Source organism: Homo sapiens, chromosome 17, assembly GCF_000001405.40.
Source record: "Homo sapiens chromosome 17, GRCh38.p14 Primary Assembly".
Taxonomy (NCBI): Eukaryota; Metazoa; Chordata; class Mammalia; order Primates; family Hominidae; genus Homo; species Homo sapiens.
Window position 1 is genome coordinate 43,390,933 of NC_000017.11, and position 20,209 is coordinate 43,411,141.

Below are 20,209 nucleotides of genomic sequence, written 5' to 3' on the forward strand. Positions count from 1 at the left end.
GCCCAAGAGTTTGAGACCAGCCTGGGCAATATAGCAAGACCTCGTCTCTACAAATAATTTTTAAAAATAAAAATAAAAATTGTAAAAAAAAAGACCAAAAAAAAAAGTATAGAGGACACCAGGGGTGGTGGCTCATGCCTGTAATCCCAACACTTTGGGAGGGCAAGGTGGGAAGATCACTTGAGCCCAGCAATTCAAGACCAGCCTGAACAACACAGGGATACCCTGTCTCTACAAAATACTAATAATAGGCCGGGCATGGTGGCTCATGCCTGTAATCCCAGCACTTTGGGAGGCTGAGGTGGGCGGAGCACCTGAGGTCGGGAGTTCGAGACCAGCCTGACCAACGTGGAGAAACCCCATCTCTACTAAAAATACAAAATTAGCCAAGTGTGGTGGCGCATGCCTGTAATCCCAGCTACTGGGGAGGCCGAGGCAGGAGAATTGCTTGACCCAAGGAGGCGGAGGTTGTGGTGAGGCGAGATGGTGCCATTGCACTCCAGCCTGGGCAACAAGAGCAAAACTGTCTCAAAAAAAAAAAAAAAAAAAATAGGCTGGGCACTGTGGCTCACGCCTGTAATCCCAGCACTTTGGGAAGCCGAGGCCGAGGTGGGCGGATCACGAAGTCAAGAGATCGAGACCATCCTGGTCAACATGGTGAAACCCTGTCTCTACTAAAAATACAGAAATTAGCTGGGCGTGGTGGTGCGTGCCTGTAGTCCCAGCTGCTTGGGAGGCTGAGGCAGGAGAATCGCTTGAACCTGGGAGGTGGAGGTTGCAGGGAGCCGAGGTGGTACCATTGCACTCCAGCCTGGGTGACAGAGCGAGACTCCATCTCAAAAATAAAATAAATAAATAAATAAATAAAATAAATAGTAATAATAAATAAAAATTAGCCAGGCATGGTGGTGTGCATCTGTGGTCTTAGCTACTTAGGCAGGCTGAGGCGGGAGCATCACTTGAGCCCAGGAGGTTGAGACCAGCCTGAGCAACATAGTGAGACACCATCACTATTAAAAGGAAAAAATGTAGTAAAATATGAAGCTTTTTTCTTTCTTCTTCCCTCTCTCTCCACTTGTCACCATGTTTTTCACTTTCTATTTCATGATCACACTCCTCAGGCACAGGACAGAGGTAGGAGAGTGCAGACTCTTGCAGGAGTCCAGAGGCCCTCTGTCCCACAACTTAGGATGGTCCCTGTGACCTCAAAACTCACTAGTCAAGTAGGAGGTCTGAGCTCCCAGTGGAGTAACCAGCCATCCAGTTTGCTAGGGGATTAGGGGTTTCCTGGAATATGGGACTTTGAGAACTAAAACTGGCAAAGTTCCAGGTGATCAGGGAGAGTTGGTTACCCTAGAGCTCTGAGCTGTGCCAGACCTCAGAGTGGGCTCCAAATTTTGGGGGAAATGAGAACAACCATCCTGATATAGTTCACAGGTGGCTTTCCCCAAGGGTGGCACATGCTGAAAGGATGCAGTCAGGGGGATGCAGCTGGTCTTCGGTGGTCTCCGGAGCCCACAGGGAGGCAGAGGAGCCCCCCCACCCCACGAACTATAGGCTTATTGCCTTTCGCACACCAAGTCCCAAGAGCCCATAACACCTCTTTCGACCATCAAGGCCCTCATTCTGCTCCTCAGGAAGTCCTGGCACCCAGGCCATGAAATCTGGCTTTGAGACTGACATTCTTGCTGAGACTGGGGTATTCTCCTTTTACCCATATCTAAGAGCCTGTGAGTTTCCTTTTGTGTCCAATAAGGGCTAATCCTGGGTGGTCTATGACTGCCTGTCTGCAAGGTCACAGAAGGACGTGACCTCCATCTGCTGTTGCTTTCCTGATGGCTCCCTTGGTCTCCTGCAAGTTCTCCAATGCCAGCTTAGTCCTTGTTCAACTCTACGTTTTCTGGAGAGAACCCTTCTTGGCACTGTCACCTCTGTTGAGATAACTCTCCTCCAAATCTCCAGCCCCCTTCTCTAGCCACCCCTAGACATTCTTCTTGGGAACCCCCATCCCCAGGCTGTCCGAATTCCCTCTGGCCTCTCAGTCCTTGGATGCTGAGGGCCACTCCCTTTTACTTCCTCAAGTTCTTACTTTCCTTGGCTTCAGGCACTTGCAGCTTTGTGGCCTTTTAAAGTCCTATGGTTTTCCTTCTACCTCTCCAGATGCTGCTTCTCCATCTTTCACTTCATTTCCCTGCCTTGAATGTGGAGATGCTCATGACAGTGTTATGGAACCACTTTCCTCCTCTCACCCCATTGCTCCCTGGGGAATTCCACCCATCTCAGGACTCTTTTCTCACTGACCACCCAAGGCCACTCCTCCAACTAAGGCCTCCCCTGAGCTCCAGGCTCCTGAGCAAATGGACTCTGGACATTTGTCCCCACATGGATAGCCTGCAGACATTACACCATGGCTGCAACTGAACTCTTGAAAACCTTCCCAAGGCCGAGCACGGTGGCTCTTGCCTGTAATCCCAGCACTTTGAGAGGCCGAGGCAGGTAGATTGCTTGAGCCAAGTTTGAGACCAGCCTGAGCAACGTGGTGAAACCCCGTCTCTACTAAAAATACCAAAATTAGCCGGGCATGGTGGCACACGCCTGTAATCCCAGCTACTCGGGAGGCTGAGGCAGGAGAATCGCTTGAACCCGGGATGTGGAGGTTGCAGTGAGCCAAGATCATGCCCTCCAGCCTGGGCGAAAGAGCAAGACTCCACCTCAAAAAAAAAAAAAATTAGCTGGGTATTGTGGTGGGAGCCTGTAAGTCCCAGCTACTCAGGAGGCTGAGGTGGGAGGATCACTGAAGCCCAGGATATAGAGGTTGCAGTGAGCTGAGATCACACCATTGCACTCCAGCCTAGGTCATAGAGTAAGACCCTCTCTAGGAAAAAAAAAAAAAATCTTCCCCACCCTGCAGCCCTCTCCTGCCTGCCTCAGTGTTCCCTGGACCTATTAGACCCTCTGTAAATACATGGAAAATGTCATCAAAATTAGAGTTTCTGCTCAAATAGTGTTCATTTTAATTTGGTATCTCACACACACTAAAAACTTGAAGAGGGTGTATTTTCTACCTCCAACCTGAAACTGTAGGAAAGGCCCTGTCTGAAAGGAGACTTCGGGAGCTGACAAAGGAACCTGAATAACTTCATCCACTAAGACTCCGCTTTTCTTCACCAATCAGGCGGTGACAAATACATCCACCAGGGGGCAGCATCTACTTATTTCTAGCCCCTGGCTCCACCCTAGGCCTTGATTTTGGGGTGGTTGCCAGGGAAAGAGTTCCTGGTTGGGGAGAAGGGTATCTTTGGGGCCCTTTCGCACATTTTTGCCCCACACTCATACTTAGCGATAGGTTGGGTTTTCTCAATTTTGTTCATGAGGAAACAGAACTGGGATTTGAAAAATGGGCCTTCGTGATTGCCGAGCTGGTAACTGCTCCGTGGCGTCCATTCCCCCACCCCACCCCCTACTCCTGCAGACTCCTCTTTCCCTCGTTTGTTCACGAAGACAAGTACTTGGTTAAGATGCTGCAGAGACAAGGATGTTCTCAGCCACTTCCTAGAAGAGCTCCACCCATCCTCCTACCCTCCCTTACTTCAGAGCATGGGCTGTTATGGGGAAACGACCTGGAGACATCTAAAGCCCCTCATTACAGGATGAGGAAACCGAGGCTCCCAGGTGGGGAAGTTACTTTTTTTTGAGACGGAGTCTCGCTCTGTCGCCCAGGCTGGAGTGCAGTGGCGCAATTCGGCTCACTGCAACCTCCGCCTTCCCGGTTCCAGCTATTCTCCTGCTTCAGCCTCCGGAGTAGCTGGGACTACAGGCGTGCGCCACCACGCCCTGCTAATTTTTTTGTATTTTTAGTAGAGACGAGGTTTCAACATGTTGGCCAGGCTGGTCTTGAACTCCTAACTTCAGGTGATCCATCCGCCTCAGCCACCCAAAGTGTTGGCATTATAGGCGCGAGCCACTGGGCCCGGCCGGAAGTGGCTTTTTACTTTTTCAAGTCACTCTACTAGTGAGGAATGGAAGGATGGGACTCACGCACTGAATCTCAGTCTGGTGTTCCAGCATGTCCTAAGGGCAACCTGTCTCTCCAGTGTCATCCCCATTTTTGGTCCTTGTTTTTCTCCTTTAAGTTCCTCCTCTCCAATAAAGGCCTGAGAGTTCTATACTACTCAGACACTGCCTAGAAATGCAGGGTTTGTAGGAATTCCTGGCCAACCCAGTATCAACAGAACCCCCAAGGGCCCAAGGGCCCAAGGACCCCAGGCTGGGAAACTCCCACGCTAAGGGTGGAGGTTTGGTTCTCCTACTCAGGGAGCCCTCTGAGTACATTTATTCCATCATGCATTCATTAATTCACACAAGATTTTCTGACTGCCTATGTGTGCCAGGCATGGTGCTGGGCATGGTAGAGCTACAGATAAGAACCAGCTGCTGCCCTTGATCACGTAGTCTGGTGGAGGAGACAGCTCTGAGGAAGAATGATGCTTATCTGACTCAGTGTCACTTAAACCTTGGCTCAGCGTCGCCGCTTTGAAACTTTCTCCTGCACACTCTTCCACCAATCTAAAGTAGTTCTCCAGCCACATGTGGTGGCACGCACCTGTAATCCCAGCTACTCAGGAGTCTGAGGCGGAGGATCTCTTGAACCGAAGAGTTCAAGGCTGCAGTAAGCTATGGTCTCGCCACTGCACTCCAGCCTGGGTGACAGAGTGAGACCTTGTCTTTAAAAAAAAAAAAAAAAGGCCGGGCGCGGTGGCTCATGCCTGTAATCCCGGCACTTTGGGAGGCCGAGGCGGGCGGATCACGAGGTCAGGAGATTGAGACCATCTTGGCTAACACGGTGAAACTCCGTCTCTACTAAAAATACTAAAAATTAGCTGGGCGCGGTGGCGGGCACCTGTAGTTCCAGCTACTCGGGAGGCTGAGGCAGGAGAATGGCATGAACCCGGGAAGTGGAGCTTGCAGTGAGCCGAGATAGCGCCACTGCAGTCCGCCCTGGGCAAAACAGCGAGACTCCGTCTCAAAAAAAAAAAAAATTATTTTTATTTTAATTTTGAAAAAATAGGGAATGCTTCATGAATTTGCAAGTCATCCTTGCACGGGGCCATGCTAATTTCTGTATCGTTCAAAAAAAAATGATTGCTTAATGTACAAATGTTCAGATGTTCTCTGCAGGGATTAGTGTAAGCCCATAGCTTAGTGCTACCTGGACGAGCTGGGCCCCTTTTTTTACCCCTCCCCAGCCCCACCTTCTCCTTCCCATTTGTTCATTAACACCTTCTCTGGCAAACATGAAAGACGGAAGGGTGGGGTAGGATTGTCAGTTTCATTTCCTTTATCAGATAAGTGACAATTTCTGTCTTGGATGTGAGTCCCAAGACAGATTATAGGAGCCATGTTAAAGAAGCTTCAAAGATTGTGGAAGAAACAAGACAACTTGTGTATTTTCAGTTTTTGTGTGTTTTCAGTCTCATAGCCATTGTAACATTTGTTCAAAGCCAGGTTTGGCCAGTTTCTAGCTGGATGACCTTCAACAAATTACCTAACCTTTCTGTGCTTCAGTTTCTTCTTTTTAGACTAACCATACTTACTTCATGGGCTTGACTTGTGTATTAAAAAAGGAAAAGTAAGCAAAGTTCCTAGACCAGAGCCTGGCATGCAGTGGCCACTCAACAGTGCAGTGGTTCTCAACCGCTGGGCCTGCTCCGTCTTCCCCTCTCCTAACTTCACCATGCTCAGGTCTGTCTCCTGTACGTTAGCTGCTGCTGCAACCTGTCACCCTCCAACTTGGGGTGTAACAAACTAATTTCCTAAGGTCTTAATCTTAGACTAATTTCCTAAGGTCTTTAGGGATTTGGGGAGGCTCCCTGCATTGCTGGGGAAACCAGGTGGCTGGTTTTGTAGTGGAGGGGAGAAAAAGGAGGTGGCAAAGCACACTGGTGACAAACAGATGGGAAGCTTATTTATCAGCACTTGATTGAGGAGGGTGGGCAGGAAAAGGCTGGGCCGTGCTGTCTGGCAATGACTTCCCTTCTCCTTTTTCCAATCCCTCTCACACATAGCCCTTAAAAAGATTAATACTGAATTACACAATAAATAAAATAATCCACGCCTGTAAATCCCAACACTTTGGGAGGTCGAGGCGGGCGGATCACCTGAGATCGGGAGTTCGAGACCAGCCTGACCAACATGGAGAAATCCTGTCTGTACTAAAAGTACAAAATTAGCCGGGCGTGGTGGCACATGCCTATAATCCCAGCTACTCGGGAGGCTGAGGCAGGAGAATTGCTTGAACCTGGGAGGTGGAGGTTGCAGTGAGCCGAGATCGCACCATTGGACACCAGCCTGGGTAACAAGAGCAAAACTCTGTCTCAAAAATAAATAAATAAATAAATAAATAAATAAATAGATAAAGTTACAATTTACAATTTCATTCTTCTTTGATTGGCCCTCTTCTCTCCCCCACCTAATTGCTGTTGTCCTTTTGGTCACACTGCCCTTTGTGACATCTCCTTCCTTTCAGGGCTGCCCAGACTGTAGCAGGCTGCAGTGGCTGGGGAGACCCTACTCATTCCTGTGCCCCTCCTAACCAGTCCTAGATAGGGCTAAAGAACGTCTATAAACCTTTTCAGAAGCTTCCAGTTGACACATTCTCTCTCTTCTCTGAAATCCTACAAGTGCTATCTCATGATTTACAAAGACCCAATACATGTGCTGTCTCATTCTGTCATTGCCAGTCTTAAGTCTTAAGCCCTTTGAGGCCTGATTCTACAGCCGAGACATCCTCTATTTCTCCACCATCTCTCTGTCTCATTCAGAGCACACAGTATGAATGAGGTCAATAAACACAGTGTTTTTTGTTTTGTTTTGTTTTGTTTTTGTTTTTTTTGAGACAGAGTCTTGCTCTGTTGCCCAGGCTGGAGTGCAATGGTGTGATCTCAGCTCACTGCAACCTCCGCCTCCCGGGTTCAAGTGATTCTCCTGCCTCAGCCTCCCGAATAGTTGCAATTACAGGCGCCCGCCACCACACCCAGCTAATTTTTGTATTTTTAGTAGAGACGGGGTTTCACCATGTTGGCCAGGCTGGTCTCGAACTCCTGACCTCAGGTGCTTCGCCCACATCGGCCTCCCAAAATGCTGGTATTACAGGCGTGAGCTACCGTGCCCAGCCCAATAAACACACTGGTTTTTTTTTTTTGTTTGCTTTGTTTTGAGACAGAGTCTTGCTCTGTCGCCCAGGCTGGAATGCAGTGGCGCTATCTCAGCTTACTGCAACCTCCGCCTCCCGGGTTCAAGCGATTCTCCTGCCTCAGCCTCCCGAGTAGCTGGGATTACAGGCACCCGCCACCACGCCCGGCTAATTTTTGTCTTTTTATTACTGATGGGGTTTCACCCTGTTGTCCAGGCTGGTGGAACTCCTGAGCTTAAGTGATGTGCCTGCCTCAGCCTCCCAAAGTGCTGAGTTTACAGGTATGATCCACTGCGCCTAAACATACTGTTGAGTGTAACCTCAAATAGGTCATTTAACCCTTCAGGGCTTTGTGTATCTGTAAAAGGCAGACAACAGTCCCTAACAGGCTATTGCAGATAATGGGCTTAGCACTATGAAGCAGCTGTTTTATGGGGCTCCAGGTTCACCTTAGGTTTGACAATTGAATTATGAAAGATAAAGGAGAAAGACTTGTCAGCCTCTCCGAGTAGATCCTTTGGCCGAAGGAGTGTCCATGTGGGGTGGTATCTCGGCCTGGTGGAGGGGGATGCGATGGTAGTGAGAATATTAGGGTATTCATATCTTTCCTCCCGAGTCAAACGTTGCCAGGCACGTTCCTTTCGCCCCTCCCACCCTCCATTCTGCATTAATTCCAAGTTTAATTCCAAATATTAGAGTGTGGTAGAAAAGGTCAAATAGAGCAGCCACGGATTAAGCAAACGCCCCTCCGCGTATGGTGGGGGCTGCAGCGCCCGTAGCTCCACGCTCCGCCCCGCCGCCGCTGATTGTCCCGCGCCTTGTGACGTCACACGCGGGTTTTTAAGGCCGAACCCTAGGCAGGCTCTGCAGAGGCAGCGGTTGGAGGCGCGGTGGGTGTCTGCGGGGGTCTCGCGGGGCGGCTGCGGTGTTTCACCGGGAAAGGCTCGAGGAGAGCGCGGCTCACGAGAGGTAAACGGACCCTGCAGACCGTGCTGAGGCGGTCCCGGTGCCGGGCCGCTGGAGCTGGGGTCGGCCATCGGAGGAGGGCGGGCGGGCAGGAGAGTGTCGCGGGGCGGTGGGGCGAGGGTCGCGGAGTAAGGAAGGGCACCGTGTCAACGGCTTGGGGCTGCGGAGGGCGGGTGGGAGCCGGACTCAATCTCCGGTCTCAGCGTCTGCACCCTAGCTCTTAGTTTGGGGGCACTGTCGACTTCCCCCGTCCCTCGGGGATCTTGCCTGGGGGATGGCGCCATAAGCTCTGAGAAGAGGCTCTAGAAGCCCACTGTCCATGGATCGAGCCCTCACCCCCCACTTGAGTGGCCCAGGACCTGGGAGTCTCTCTAGGTCCCATCGCCCCCCTCACGACCCCCCCAGGGAGTGGGGGAACACCTCTGTTATGCCTTAAAAAAAAAAAAAAAAAGGAAAGGAATTTTAAAAATGAAGGATGGGAGGGTGATTTAGGAAGGGATCAAGAAGTTGCAAATCTTGTGTGTATTATTAAACGTCTCCTTTTTCTCCCATGACCTTTTCTTGGTTCAGATAACCCAGCTGTGCTCCCTGGAACCTTCAATTTCAAGGCCTCCCTGCCTCTACTAGGCGCCTTAGCTCACTATGGGGAACCACTTGACTGAGATGGCGCCCACTGCCTCCTCCTTCTTGCCCCACTTCCAAGCCCTGCATGTCGTGGTCATTGGGCTGGACTCTGCTGGAAAGACCTCCCTCCTTTACCGCCTCAAGTTCAAGGAGTTTGTCCAGAGTGTCCCCACCAAAGGCTTCAACACCGAGAAGATCCGGGTGCCCCTCGGGGGATCGCGTGGCATCACCTTCCAAGTGTGGGACGTCGGGGGGCAGGAGAAGCTGCGACCACTGTGGCGCTCTTATACCCGCCGGACAGACGGTCTAGTGTTTGTGGTGGACGCTGCGGAGGCTGAGCGGCTGGAGGAAGCCAAGGTGGAGTTGCACCGAATCAGCCGGGCCTCGGACAACCAGGGCGTGCCAGTGCTGGTGCTGGCCAACAAGCAGGACCAGCCCGGGGCACTGAGCGCTGCTGAGGTGGAGAAGAGGCTGGCAGTCCGAGAGCTAGCAGCCGCCACTCTCACTCATGTGCAAGGCTGCAGCGCTGTGGACGGTCTGGGCCTGCAGCAGGGCCTTGAGCGCCTCTATGAGATGATCCTCAAGAGGAAGAAGGCAGCTCGGGGTGGCAAGAAGAGACGGTGACCCAAGCCCCCCCTCCCTTTCCTCCCACCTAGTAGGGGTCTGCACACTTGGACAGCAGGGTGGGACCAGCCTGTGACCTCTCAGTCAGACTGGGGTGCAGGACCTGTCCACCTCAATGAAGGAGAGAGGAGCATGGGGTGTCCCGTTTTGGTGCCACACTGGGGTGGGGATGGGAGATGGGATGTCTTTGCATATCTCTCTCATCCTCTCTGGAGAAGTGGGCGCTGCAGGACTGTGGAGACGTAAATGTAAACTGTGACTCTACCTCGACCCTGTTTCTTATTTTTCTTCTCTGGCTAAAAATTTTTAATTGGATGTGTTTGGGGGCGGGGGGATGGAAGTGACTTGGAGAATGTGTTTGGGATGAAATAACTATCTCCCCTTCCTCTGTCCCCCAACTGGGGAGTCTCCCCAGGCTGCTTTTCTAGGAATACCAGTCACATAGTTTTTATTTTTGTGTCTGTGAAAGTGCCAAGAACCCCTCCCCACATTTGTAGATCCATGACCCTTTTTATAAGCTGTGTGTGTCCTCTGTATTATTGTTATTAACTATTTTTTAGCATTTGCCTGTAAGTTATTAAAGACTGATAACTGTAGCTCTTACCTTGGTCTGGGGCATTTTCCTCTCCTTATCTTGCCCCAGAGACAATTCAAGATTTCTATATGGGGTTGTGGCGCAGGGGGAGGGAGATTTATCTTGAAGCTGAATTTGCAAAGCAAGCACTTATAAAAATTAGATTGTGTGTTACGGGATGGCTTGTGAAAATTATAGGGGGGAGTGGAAAACCCCTCAAGCTATTGCCTGATCTCTGTAGTTTTTTGGGTGGGGTCACTTCCTTTTTCTCTGATTTAACACCCCTCCCCTCATCCTCTGGGTCTTACTTGTCCCTTATATCAACTGCTCCTTGCAGATTTAACTTCAAATTTTGCTAGTCTGAGCTACTCCTAGGTTCTTGACCTTGGTGACACCTAAGTCTATATAGGTAAGTCCTCAAAGAGCCATTCTGTTCCCATCCTCCCCACTTCCCCAGTCTTAGGTTGGTTTGATTTTTTTCCTCCTTGTAAGATGTGGTGAGAGTGGAAAGTAATTCCTCCCTGGCCTTAAGTCACCTCTGTGTACTCAATCCTGCTGACTGGCTCACTGGCATGATGGCAGCGGCTGGTGCTAGGGAGGCCTGGGCTGGATTGAGCCAGCCTGGCCCTGGTGACTAAGCCATGAGTTTTCCAGCTCTGGGAATGGTAGCTCTTCTCACGAGAGGGGCAGAAGTAGTAGCTGTTTGTGCTTGGTGGCAGAGAGGACTGCTGGACATACACCCTCCAGACTCCAAGATAGAAGGGGGAAGACATAAGCCCCCAGTATTTGTGGTGATTGTAAGAATAAAATGCTAATATTACAAGGGCTTGAGTGCCCCTACTCACCAGCACCAGGGCCAGCTATGTCTGATAACAGAACCCTTAGATCCTCTTAATCTTCTGGGTGGGAGCAGTGAGTAAGAACTAAGCACAAGGCCGGGCACAGTGGCTCACGCCTGTAATCCCAGCACTTTGGGAGGCTGAGGCAGGAGGATGGCTTGGGCCCAGGAGTTCAAGACCAGCCTGGGCAACATAGGGAGACCATGTCTCTAAAAAAGAAAAAAAACAAGCACAATTCTTTCCAGTTGTCGAGCCCTCCAGCCACCCCCTGCCACCTTTTGTGCAAACACACAATCCCCAGAGCAGGTTCAGCGTTCACACCCTGCTTCTCCCCAATTCTGTCTCCTCTTCTCCGGAATCAGATGAAAGGACCTGGGGAGAAAGAGAAGGTGCCGGCAACCCCCACTTCTGGGGAAGGTTTCCTAAAGAACTTGCTTCTTCCTACCCAGCGCTGCCAGAAGCTCAGATTTGGTCCCCTCCCCATCCCTGTAGCTGGCAGGATTGGGGTGAGTGTGCATTGATCCGGAAGGGTGCCCAAGTGTGCGTCAGTGCTAGGGCCTGCTTGACAGAACTGCTGGGCTGGTTCTGCTGGGAACATGTGCTACCTGCCCCTCCCCCAGACACACCTGCGACTCCTCTCCCAGTCTTTTTGGGGCACAGTCCTATAGCCCAAGGACAGGTTGAGGCCCCAGTCCAGGCTGGAAAGGAACTGGCCAGAACTGACCCTCTGTCCTGCCAGGAGATCTTTCCTCCCCACCCCACCCAAATTCTGCTCTTTTGTCTTAAAATCTTCAATTATACATTTTCATTTCTTGTCACTTGGTGTACTTAGGTCTCCAGATTTGGGGGAAGAGGTGCAGAGGTGTTCCCCAATCCCTAGCAGAGGGGCCTCCAAGATGTCAGCTCCTGATTCTGGCTCTTCCAACCACACTCCTTCCCTACCTGCTTAAAACAGGTATCTTCTGCTTCCCCATGCCCAGCCCTGGGGGCGGTCAGGGATCATGGTCCACAGGAGGCCTTTGAATGTCCCAGGCTCTTCCCCAGTCCCTCTGGCCTGACTGTCCAGCTGGTGGCACTAAAGGAAGATGGGGGCTTGTGTCAGAGAGAGACGGAGAAGCCAACTGCTCTGCCAGAGTAGTGGGGAGAGGGGAACACTGGGGAATTCTGAGTAGAAAGCCACAAATTGTGGCCGGGTCAGAGTCAGGAGCTTTGGAATAATCCTCCTGCCTTGGCTCATCAAAGGGACTGGAGAGCTGGAAGGGAAGGGATCACTTCCTATCTGCAGGATGAGAGAGGGAGAGAGAACCTCTCACTCTCCAGTCCTGCCCAGAGATTCTGCATTTTGAACTCAGGGCAAGGGCAAGGAATGAGGGTGTGATCAGGATGGAGAGTGAGGTTATATTTGCCCTGTACTGGCTTCTCTATTAAGTAGGATTTCTTCGAGACCCTGGCATGGGTGCTGAGGAGCTCTTCCTTGGGGGCCAAGAGTGGTGTGGCTGAGGCTAGTTGCCTGTAAAGTTGAGGGAAACCTGCTGTAGACCCAGAGTTCCAGAGTAGAGGCCGTTTTTTTTTTTTTTTTTTCCTCCTCTGTTACCCAGGCTGGAGTGCAGCGGTGCGATCTTGGCTTGCTGCAACCTCCACCTCCCCGGTTCAAGTAATTCCCATGTCTCAGCCTCCCAAGTAGCTGGGATTACAGTCACGCACCACCATGCCTGGGTAATTTCTGTATCTTTAGTAGAGATGGGGTTTCGCCACGTTGATCAGCCTGGTCCTGAACTCCTGACTTCAAGTGATTTGCCTGCCTCAGCCTCCCAAAGTGCTGGGATTACAGGCGTGAGCCACCATGCCCAACCCCAGAGTTGAGGCTTTCTTCTGAGCTGTCCTTCCCCACCCAGCCACCCCTTCTTGCACAGGTTGGAACATAAAATCCAGATGGAAGCCTTCCTTTCCTGGAGCTCCTCATCATGAGGGCAAAGATGGCAGTGGTCCCCCACTTTCCCATGCCCTTTCCAGTCCTCTCCATGCTGCAAGGGCTCAAGGAAGACAGAGGAAGGAAAGAAGTCCCTAAGGCCCAGAGTGGGCAGTGACTTGCCCGCGGATACACGGCCACTTAGCAGTGCACCCAGCTCCTTCCTCCCAGGCCAGGTCTTTGTACTCCCAGGGCAGAGGATAGGAGGTAGGAGACAGGGAGCGAGCACAGTTATCTCAGAGCTCAGATTCCCCCCTCCCTCCCTCTTCCCTCTCCTTGATTAGATTAAGGACCAGCTTTCCGCTCTCTCACTCCCCTTCCTGGGGAGTGAGAGCTTTATCTCCTAAGCCCAGCAGAGGTCTGGCCTCAAATCTGGCCAGAAGTTCCCATCCTTCCTTTATCCTGACCACGTGTCATTGCAAGTCTTTCTTGAGATGGACACCTCCACCAGGGCCTGGGAAGTGCTGAGTTCTGCCCAAGTGCTAGGAGCACACAGGACAGCATGTTCTCTAACACAAGCCTGTTTTGAATGGGGCCAGTGGGTAGAGAGGAAAGGGAGGGAGTGAGGGTGGCAAGGGAGACCCAGGCCAGCATTCAGCTGGAAAGGGTGGGCAGTGTGGCTGCACTTCATTTCCAAGGCCATCTGTTGGGGAGTTTGTGGGTGGATGCATGAGACCTCCTCCTCTGGATGATCCAGAAGAGGGTATTCGCTGTTCCCTTAAAAAATTTTTTTGAACATGTTAGATATTCCTATTCTTTTTATTTTTTATTTTTGTAGAGATGGGGCCTTGCCCTCTTGCCTGGCCAGGGTGGTCTGGAACCCCTGACCTCAAGCGATCCTCCTGCCTTGGCCTTCCAAAGCACTGGGATTAGCAATACAAGCCACCACACCCAGCCATGTTCCTATTTTTTTTTTTTTTTTTTTTTTTTTTGAGATGGAGTCTCGCTCTGTCGCCCAGGCTGGAGTGCAGTGGCGTGATCTCAGCTCATTGCAAGCTCCGCCTCCCGGGTTCATGCCATTCTCCTGCCTCAGCCTCCTGAGTAGCTGGGACTACAGGTGCCCGCCACCACGCCCGGCTAATTTTTTTGTATTTTTAGTAGAAACGGGGTTTCACCATGTTAGCCAGGATGGTCTCGATCTCCTGACCTTGTGATCCACCCGCCTCGGCCTCCCAAAGTGCTGGGATTACAGACGTGAGCCACCGCGCCCAGCCTTTTTTTTTTTTTTTTTAAATTTTTACTTTGCCCTGAGAGTTTTTTGTTTGTTTGTTTTTGTTTTTGTTTTGAGACGGAGTCTCTCTCTGTCACCCAGGCTGGAGTGCAGTGGTATGATCTTGGCTCACTGCAACCTCCGTCTCCCAGGTTCAAGTGATCCTCCTACCTCAGCCTCTGGAGTAGCTGGGATTACAGGCACATGCCACCATGTCTGGCTAATTTTTTGTACTTTTAGTAGAGACGGGATTTTGCCATGTGACCAGGCTGGTCTCAAACTCCTCACCTCAGGTGATCCACCCGCCTTGGCCTCCCAAAGTACTGGGATTACAGGCATGAGCCACTGCACCCGGCCAGCTCCTTCTTTTTAAAAAAAATTTTCTCTCCCTCATTGGAAAAGTAATAGATCTTATAGATCTCTATGTGGAAGAAATCTAAATTTAGAAAATGAAGAAACCTAATCTCACAACTTGTTTAATGAAACATTAAAAAAAGAAAAAGAAAATGAAGAAACTGGCTGGGCACGGTGGCTCATGCCTGTAATGCTAGCACTTTGGGAGGCTGAGGCGGGTAGATCCCTTGAGCTTAGGAGTTCAAGACCGGCCTGGGCAACATAGCGAAACCCCATCTCTACAAAAAATACAAAAATTATCCAGACATGGTGGCACATGCTTGTAGTTTCAGCTACTTGGGAGGCTGAGGCAGGAGTATATCTTGAACCTGGGAGGTCGAGGCTGCAGTGAGCTAAGATTGCACCACTGCACACTAGCCTGGGGGACAAAGTAAGGTCCTGTCTAAAAAAAAAAAGAAAAAGAAGAAACTTTATAATCTCAACTTTAGAGCTAACCGTTGTGAACAGGTTTTTATATATTCTTCTGGGAATTTTTTTCTCTGCATGTACAAAAGAGGTATGTCTATAGAACATATATGGAATTATATAAAGCAAACAGTTTTGCTTTTCTCATTTATATCTTGGACATTATTCCATGCATGCCATTATTCCATTATACCACTGCCATCTTTGCCCTCATGAGGAGGGGCTTCAGAAGGGAAGGCTTCCATCTGGATTTTTCTCATTCTTTTTGATGACCACATGAGATTCCATTGTATGAATGTACCATCATTAATTAATTAAATCACTTGTTGAAGACACAGTCTGCCCACAGCCATGGTCCTCCTTGCATATATATTTTTTGGTACACTTGGGGAAGCTTTCCCATAAGATATATTCCTAGAGTTGCAATTGTTGTGTCAAAGGGTGTATGTATTTAAAGTTGTCATAGATACTGCCAAAGTTTATGTGTTTGTGTAGAGGTTGGGTGGGAGGGAAATTAAATCCAGCTTCCTCATCCTCTATTCCCAGATCTCAAGGCTTTTTCAAGCTAAGATGTGTGTATATGGTAGAGGAGACATTACAGTGCTCTTGCTTTTTTTTTTTTTTTTTCTTTTTTGAGACGGAGTTTCACTCTTGTTGCCCAGGCTGGAGTGCAATGGCGCGATCTCGGCTCACTACAACCTCCACCTCTTGGGTTCAAGTGATTCTCCTGCCTCAGCCTCCTGAGTAGCTGGGATTACAGGCATGCGCCACCATGCCTGGCTAATTTTGTATTTTTAGTAGAGGCAGGGTTTCTCCATGTTGGTCAGGCTGGTCTCGAACTCCCGACCTCAGGTGATCTGCCCGGCTCGGCCTTCCAAAGTGCTGGGATTACAGGCACGAGCCACTGCACCTGGCCTCCTTATTTATTTTTTATTTTTTTAAAATTTTTTTCACCAGAGCTGCCAGTAAAGGCGCCTGTGCTTTTTGGGAGGTAAGGAATAAAATCACCAGCAACTCAGCAGAGGATTTGCAGGGATAGCGAGTAAGCTTGGGCTCACTTTCCGGGGCTAAGGATTGAGCGCCACCTGGGACTGCCTGGCTGGTGGCGGAGGTGGGCAGATGGTGAGGACTCCCTAGCACCCAGCTTGTCACAGACGTCAGGCAGAGTGGGCGAAACAAGCCCTGAAATAGATTCCCGGGATTTGGCTTAGGGAGGAAGTGAGGCTGAGACCAAGAGTGTATGCTCTGAAGGGAACACAGAGAAGGAAACTTCAGCCCGAATGAATTGGGCAGCAGTGGAGCCCTGGACCTCCCCCATACAGACACCCCACCCCCATGTAGAGACTCCCACCAACTGCTATAGCTCAAGGACTCTTGTAAAAGGAAGCAGAAGCCTGAAGTAGCAGATATCTTGGTCACTCTGGAGTGTTTGGGGCTTGACTTAAGGCTCCTGGGAAAATCCTGGGTCTATGCCCCTCCTCAGTGGAGTGGGGAGGTGGGGAGGTGGGGAGGTGGGGAGGTGGGGAGGTGGGGAGGTGAGCAAGCGGGAGAGCTTATCTCTTTAGCAGTCCCTACCTCCTCCTATTAAATTTGTTAAATCTCATGAGAAATCCTTTGGAGGAGGGTGGGGGGACAGCTGGGTTTCAAAAGCTTGTTGAAAGTGAAGTTTGGTGCTTTTGATTGTATTTGTTTTTATAAGATTACCATTGCTTTGCATTCCAGATGCCTCTCTTATCCTTAAGGAGAGAGAAGACAGAACTGCTTACTCACTCTCTGGAACTCTCCTAGCCTGATGGGGGAGGAACAGAGCCACCAGTCTGACTTTGCAGTGCCCCAAACAGTAACCCACAAGGCAACATACAGGTTAAGACTTGGCTCTGCCACCAACTTCTGTGACTTTGACCGAGCCATTTCTAGTCTCTTGGCCTCAGTTTACTCATCTGTAAAGTGAGGGGATTGAGTAGGCAATAGCAGATCTTTTCTAGTACACTTTCTATGGTTCTCAGTACAAGGTGGGCATGGGAAGCTCTTTAATAGTCTTTCTCTCTTCATCTGTTTTTTTGTTTTTGTTTTATTTGTTTGCTTGTTTTTGAGACAGAGTTTTGCTGTCACCCAGGCTGGAGCGCAGGGATACAATCCTGGCTCACCGCAGCCTTGACCTCCCAGTTTCAAGCGATTCTCCCATCTCAACCTCCCAAGTAGCTGGAACTACTGGCATGTGCCACCATGCCCAGCTAATTCTTTTATTTTTTTAGAGACAGGGTCTCTATCAGTTAAGGTTGGAGAATTTATCTGGGAAGGCTTCCTGGAGGAGGTAAGGAAAAGAAGTCAGCTTGGAGCCAGAATTAAGTATTCTGATTAATGAGGGACCTGGAGCATTGTAGGCTTCGGAGCACCTTTTTGGCTCCACCTACTCCTCAGGAGGAAAGGCCTGAGTCTGAGGTTTAATAGATACAGTTTTGTTCCTCCTTTCCCTGTAATTACCTGGCCTGAGACACTCTCAGACTCTGTCCACCACTCCTGTCCTTCAACTCCTCCCACTGTCACCTGAGGATAGGCTGTATCTAGATTCACATTCTCTACCTCCTACTCCAGAAGAGTAGGTTGTAGGGCAGGTGTCAAAGAAGAGACTCCCAAGCTCTAGACCTGTGGTGTCCAATATGGCAGCCATGAGCCACACATGGTGATTGAACATGGGGAGTGTGGCTGGTCTGAACTGAGATATGCTGTACGTGTAAAATACACAACAGATTCAGAGCCTTCATGTGAAAAAAGAATGTAAAATTTCTTATTAATACTTTTTATATTGATTATGCATATGTTGAAGTGATACTTTTTACATAATGAGTTAAATAAAATGATTAAAATTAGATTCAGTTGTTTCTTTTTAACATTAAAATGTGGCTATCAGAAATATTAAAATTACATATGTGGCTCACATTCTTCACATTCTGTTTCTTTTCTTTTCTTTTCTTTTCTTTTCTTTTCTTTTCTTTTCTTTTCTTTTCTTTTGAGATGGAGTCTTGCTCTGTCGCCCAGGCTGGAGTGCAGTGGCGTGATGTCGGCTCACAGCAACCTCTGCCTCCGAGGCTCAGGCGATTCTCTTGCCTCAGCCTCCCAAGCAGCTGGGATCACAGGTGCCTGCCACCATGCCCAGCTAATTTTTAGTAGAGATGGGGTTTCATTATGTTGGCCAGGCTGGTCTTGAACTCCTGGCCTCGGAGTCCACCCACCTTGGCCTCCCAAAGTGCTGGGACTACAGGCGTGAGCCACTGTGCCCGGCTTCACATTCTGTTTCTACAGATAGTGCATCCACATATTTGGGGGGAAGGAGCATTATGAGTAAAAGAATGAAACACTTGTTCTCCTTTTTGTCTGAAATCAGAAGAGAAACAGGGCCAGGCGCAGTGGTTCATGTCTGTAATCCCAGCACTTTGGGAGGCTGAGACGGGAGGATTGCTTGAACTCAGAGTTCAGGACCAGCTTGGGCAACTAAAGAAGATCCTGTCTTTACAAAAAGAAAAATTAGCTGTGCATGGTGGCTCCTGTGGTCCCAGCTACTCAGAAGGCTAAGGAGGGAGGATTGCTTGAGCCTAGGAGGCAGAGGCTGCAGTCGTTGTGTTCAAACCACTGCAACTGCACTCCAGCTTCAGTGACAGAGTGAGACCCTGTCTCAGAGAAAAAAAAAAAAAGAGAAACAGACCAGAACTGTAACAGTATGGAAGGAAGGTAAATTATAGGAAGGCCTTCTTGATAGGAAGGACTGAAAAACCTGAAAGATCCACATACTTCTTTTCTTGGAAAGCTTTCAGAATAGGAGAGGACTTTGCATATCTTAAATCATTTTAAGATGGTATCTTATCATACTATGATTCTCAGTGATCCAAACTTGGTTACTTAGCAGGTGACTTTCCTGGCCTTGTTCAAGGTGTTTTCACCACACAAACAACTCTTAATTGTCTACTTGGTGATGAGCCCAGATACCTGGAATCCATAGAAAATTCCTAACATGATTTTACCCAATAGTTTCTAATCTTTCATCAGACTGCTGAGGCAGCAGCAACAGTGTTGACAGACTGAGGTTTCATCATCCTGCCCTCCCCTGCTGCCTGTCTCTGCCCACCCTCTACCCCCGGGAAAGTGCTGGAGCAGAGGGAGGGTTCAGGGAGGCAATATTGAGAAGGAACATGCCAGCTGGGGGTCTGGATAATCCACAAACTGGATTATCTGTCCCTGACTTTGCATAGATGTAAGCAGGTGGCCTATATGTAGACAGGATGTACTGGGATGAGCCATGGGCATCTGGTTAACGTGTGTGTGTATATGGGGGGGTGGTCCTACAATAAATTCCCCCACCTACTTATCTCCCATCCAGAGCATTAATTCAACCAATCACTCCTTCTTTCAATTAACCACATATAATATGAATAGTATTTAGCATTATTTACTGTAGTTTCATAGTGAGAGACTAGAATTTTTTTTTTTTTTTTCAAGACGGAGTCTTGCTCTGTCGCCTAGGCTGGAGTGTAGTGGCGCGATCCAGGCTCACTACAACCTCTGCCTCCTGAGTTCAAGTGATTGTCCTGCCTCAGCCTCCTGAGCAGCTGGGATGACAGGCTCACGCCACCAGGCCTGGCTAATTTTTGTATTTTTAGTAGAGACGGGGTTTCACCATGTTGGCCAGGCTGGTCTTGAGCTACTGACCTCATATTATCCGCCCACCTCGGCCTCCCAAAGTGCTGGGATTACACATGTGAGCTACCACGCCCGGCCGAAAAAATTTTTAAAAATCTTTATTGTGCACTGAAGGCTGACTAGGGGCTGACACAGCATCCTAGGCACTGGAGCTAAGGTGCAATTTGTACCCAAAGAAGTGTCTTAGATCTGGTTCCCTTGATGTGCAGACTGAGATGGGGATTTGGGCGGCACATGGTTTATTGTGAGGCAAACTCTCAGGAGAAGGGAGGAAAGGAAAGAGGGTGGGGCACAGAGTGGGGAAGCAAGGATGTGCTTCACAGCTGAGTCTGGTTTTGGCTTGATCCTGTGGGAAGCTCTGGGTGGACAACTGTATGACAGAAAGGATCCCACCTGAGTCAGGGAGGCTAGTTTTTTATGTCCCTGTCAGTCAGCTAATTGGCTGCCCTCTAGGCCAAGGGCAAGTCCAGAGATGGAGAGCCATTGGCAGCCAAAACTCACAGTCAGCACCGGGAATCTGGGTGGAGCACCAAGGCATCCACTCAGGGAGTAGCCTGAGAAGAGAAGAGTGAGCTGACCCGAGCAAGCACAGCCCTGATTGTTATCCACACTTGGCAACCCAGTCCTCTTTCTACTCTCACTCTCAGCCTGGCCTCAACCCTTATCTGCCCTTGTCCCACCTTCTTTCTCTTTCTGT

At 49.7% G+C, this 20,209-nt stretch overlaps 1 protein-coding gene and 1 pseudogene across 2 annotated transcripts, besides 2 other annotated features; one reads left to right on the plus strand and one right to left on the minus strand.

Annotated features, from left to right (window-relative positions):
- Window positions 5,061-5,159, minus strand: RNU6-1137P (RNA, U6 small nuclear 1137, pseudogene; annotated as a pseudogene).
- Window positions 8,061-10,205, plus strand: ARL4D (ARF like GTPase 4D). Of its 2 annotated transcripts, none has more exons than NM_001661.4 (2): window positions 8,061-8,161; window positions 8,729-10,205. In NM_001661.4, the coding sequence occupies exon 2, from the start codon at window positions 8,801-8,803 to the stop codon at window positions 9,404-9,406; it is 606 nt and encodes a 201-aa protein (NP_001652.2). In that variant the 5' UTR covers window positions 8,061-8,161; window positions 8,729-8,800; the 3' UTR covers window positions 9,407-10,205. The 2 variants fall into 2 exon arrangements, with proteins under 2 accessions (NP_001652.2, XP_011523084.1); XM_011524782.3 differs by lacking the exon at window positions 8,061-8,161 and adding an exon at window positions 8,164-8,220.
- Window positions 8,185-8,688: an enhancer, noted in NCBI's record as "H3K27ac-H3K4me1 hESC enhancer chr17:41476485-41476988 (GRCh37/hg19 assembly coordinates)". NCBI's record gives its function as "activates a minimal SCP1, AML or CMV promoter by ChIP-STARR-seq in naive H9 embryonic stem cells {active_cell/tissue: H9 hESC(naive)}" and the evidence as "EXISTENCE:reporter gene assay evidence [ECO:0000049][PMID:30033119]".
- Window positions 15,440-15,940: an enhancer, noted in NCBI's record as "H3K4me1 hESC enhancer chr17:41483740-41484240 (GRCh37/hg19 assembly coordinates)". NCBI's record gives its function as "activates a minimal SCP1, AML or CMV promoter by ChIP-STARR-seq in naive and primed H9 embryonic stem cells {active_cell/tissue: H9 hESC(naive and primed)}" and the evidence as "EXISTENCE:reporter gene assay evidence [ECO:0000049][PMID:30033119]".

Excerpts from the sequence above, each read along its gene's own strand:
- ARL4D (NM_001661.4), top strand. The coding sequence starts at position 8,801 with ATGGGGAACCACTTGACTGAGATGGCGCCCACTGCCTCCTCCTTCTTG.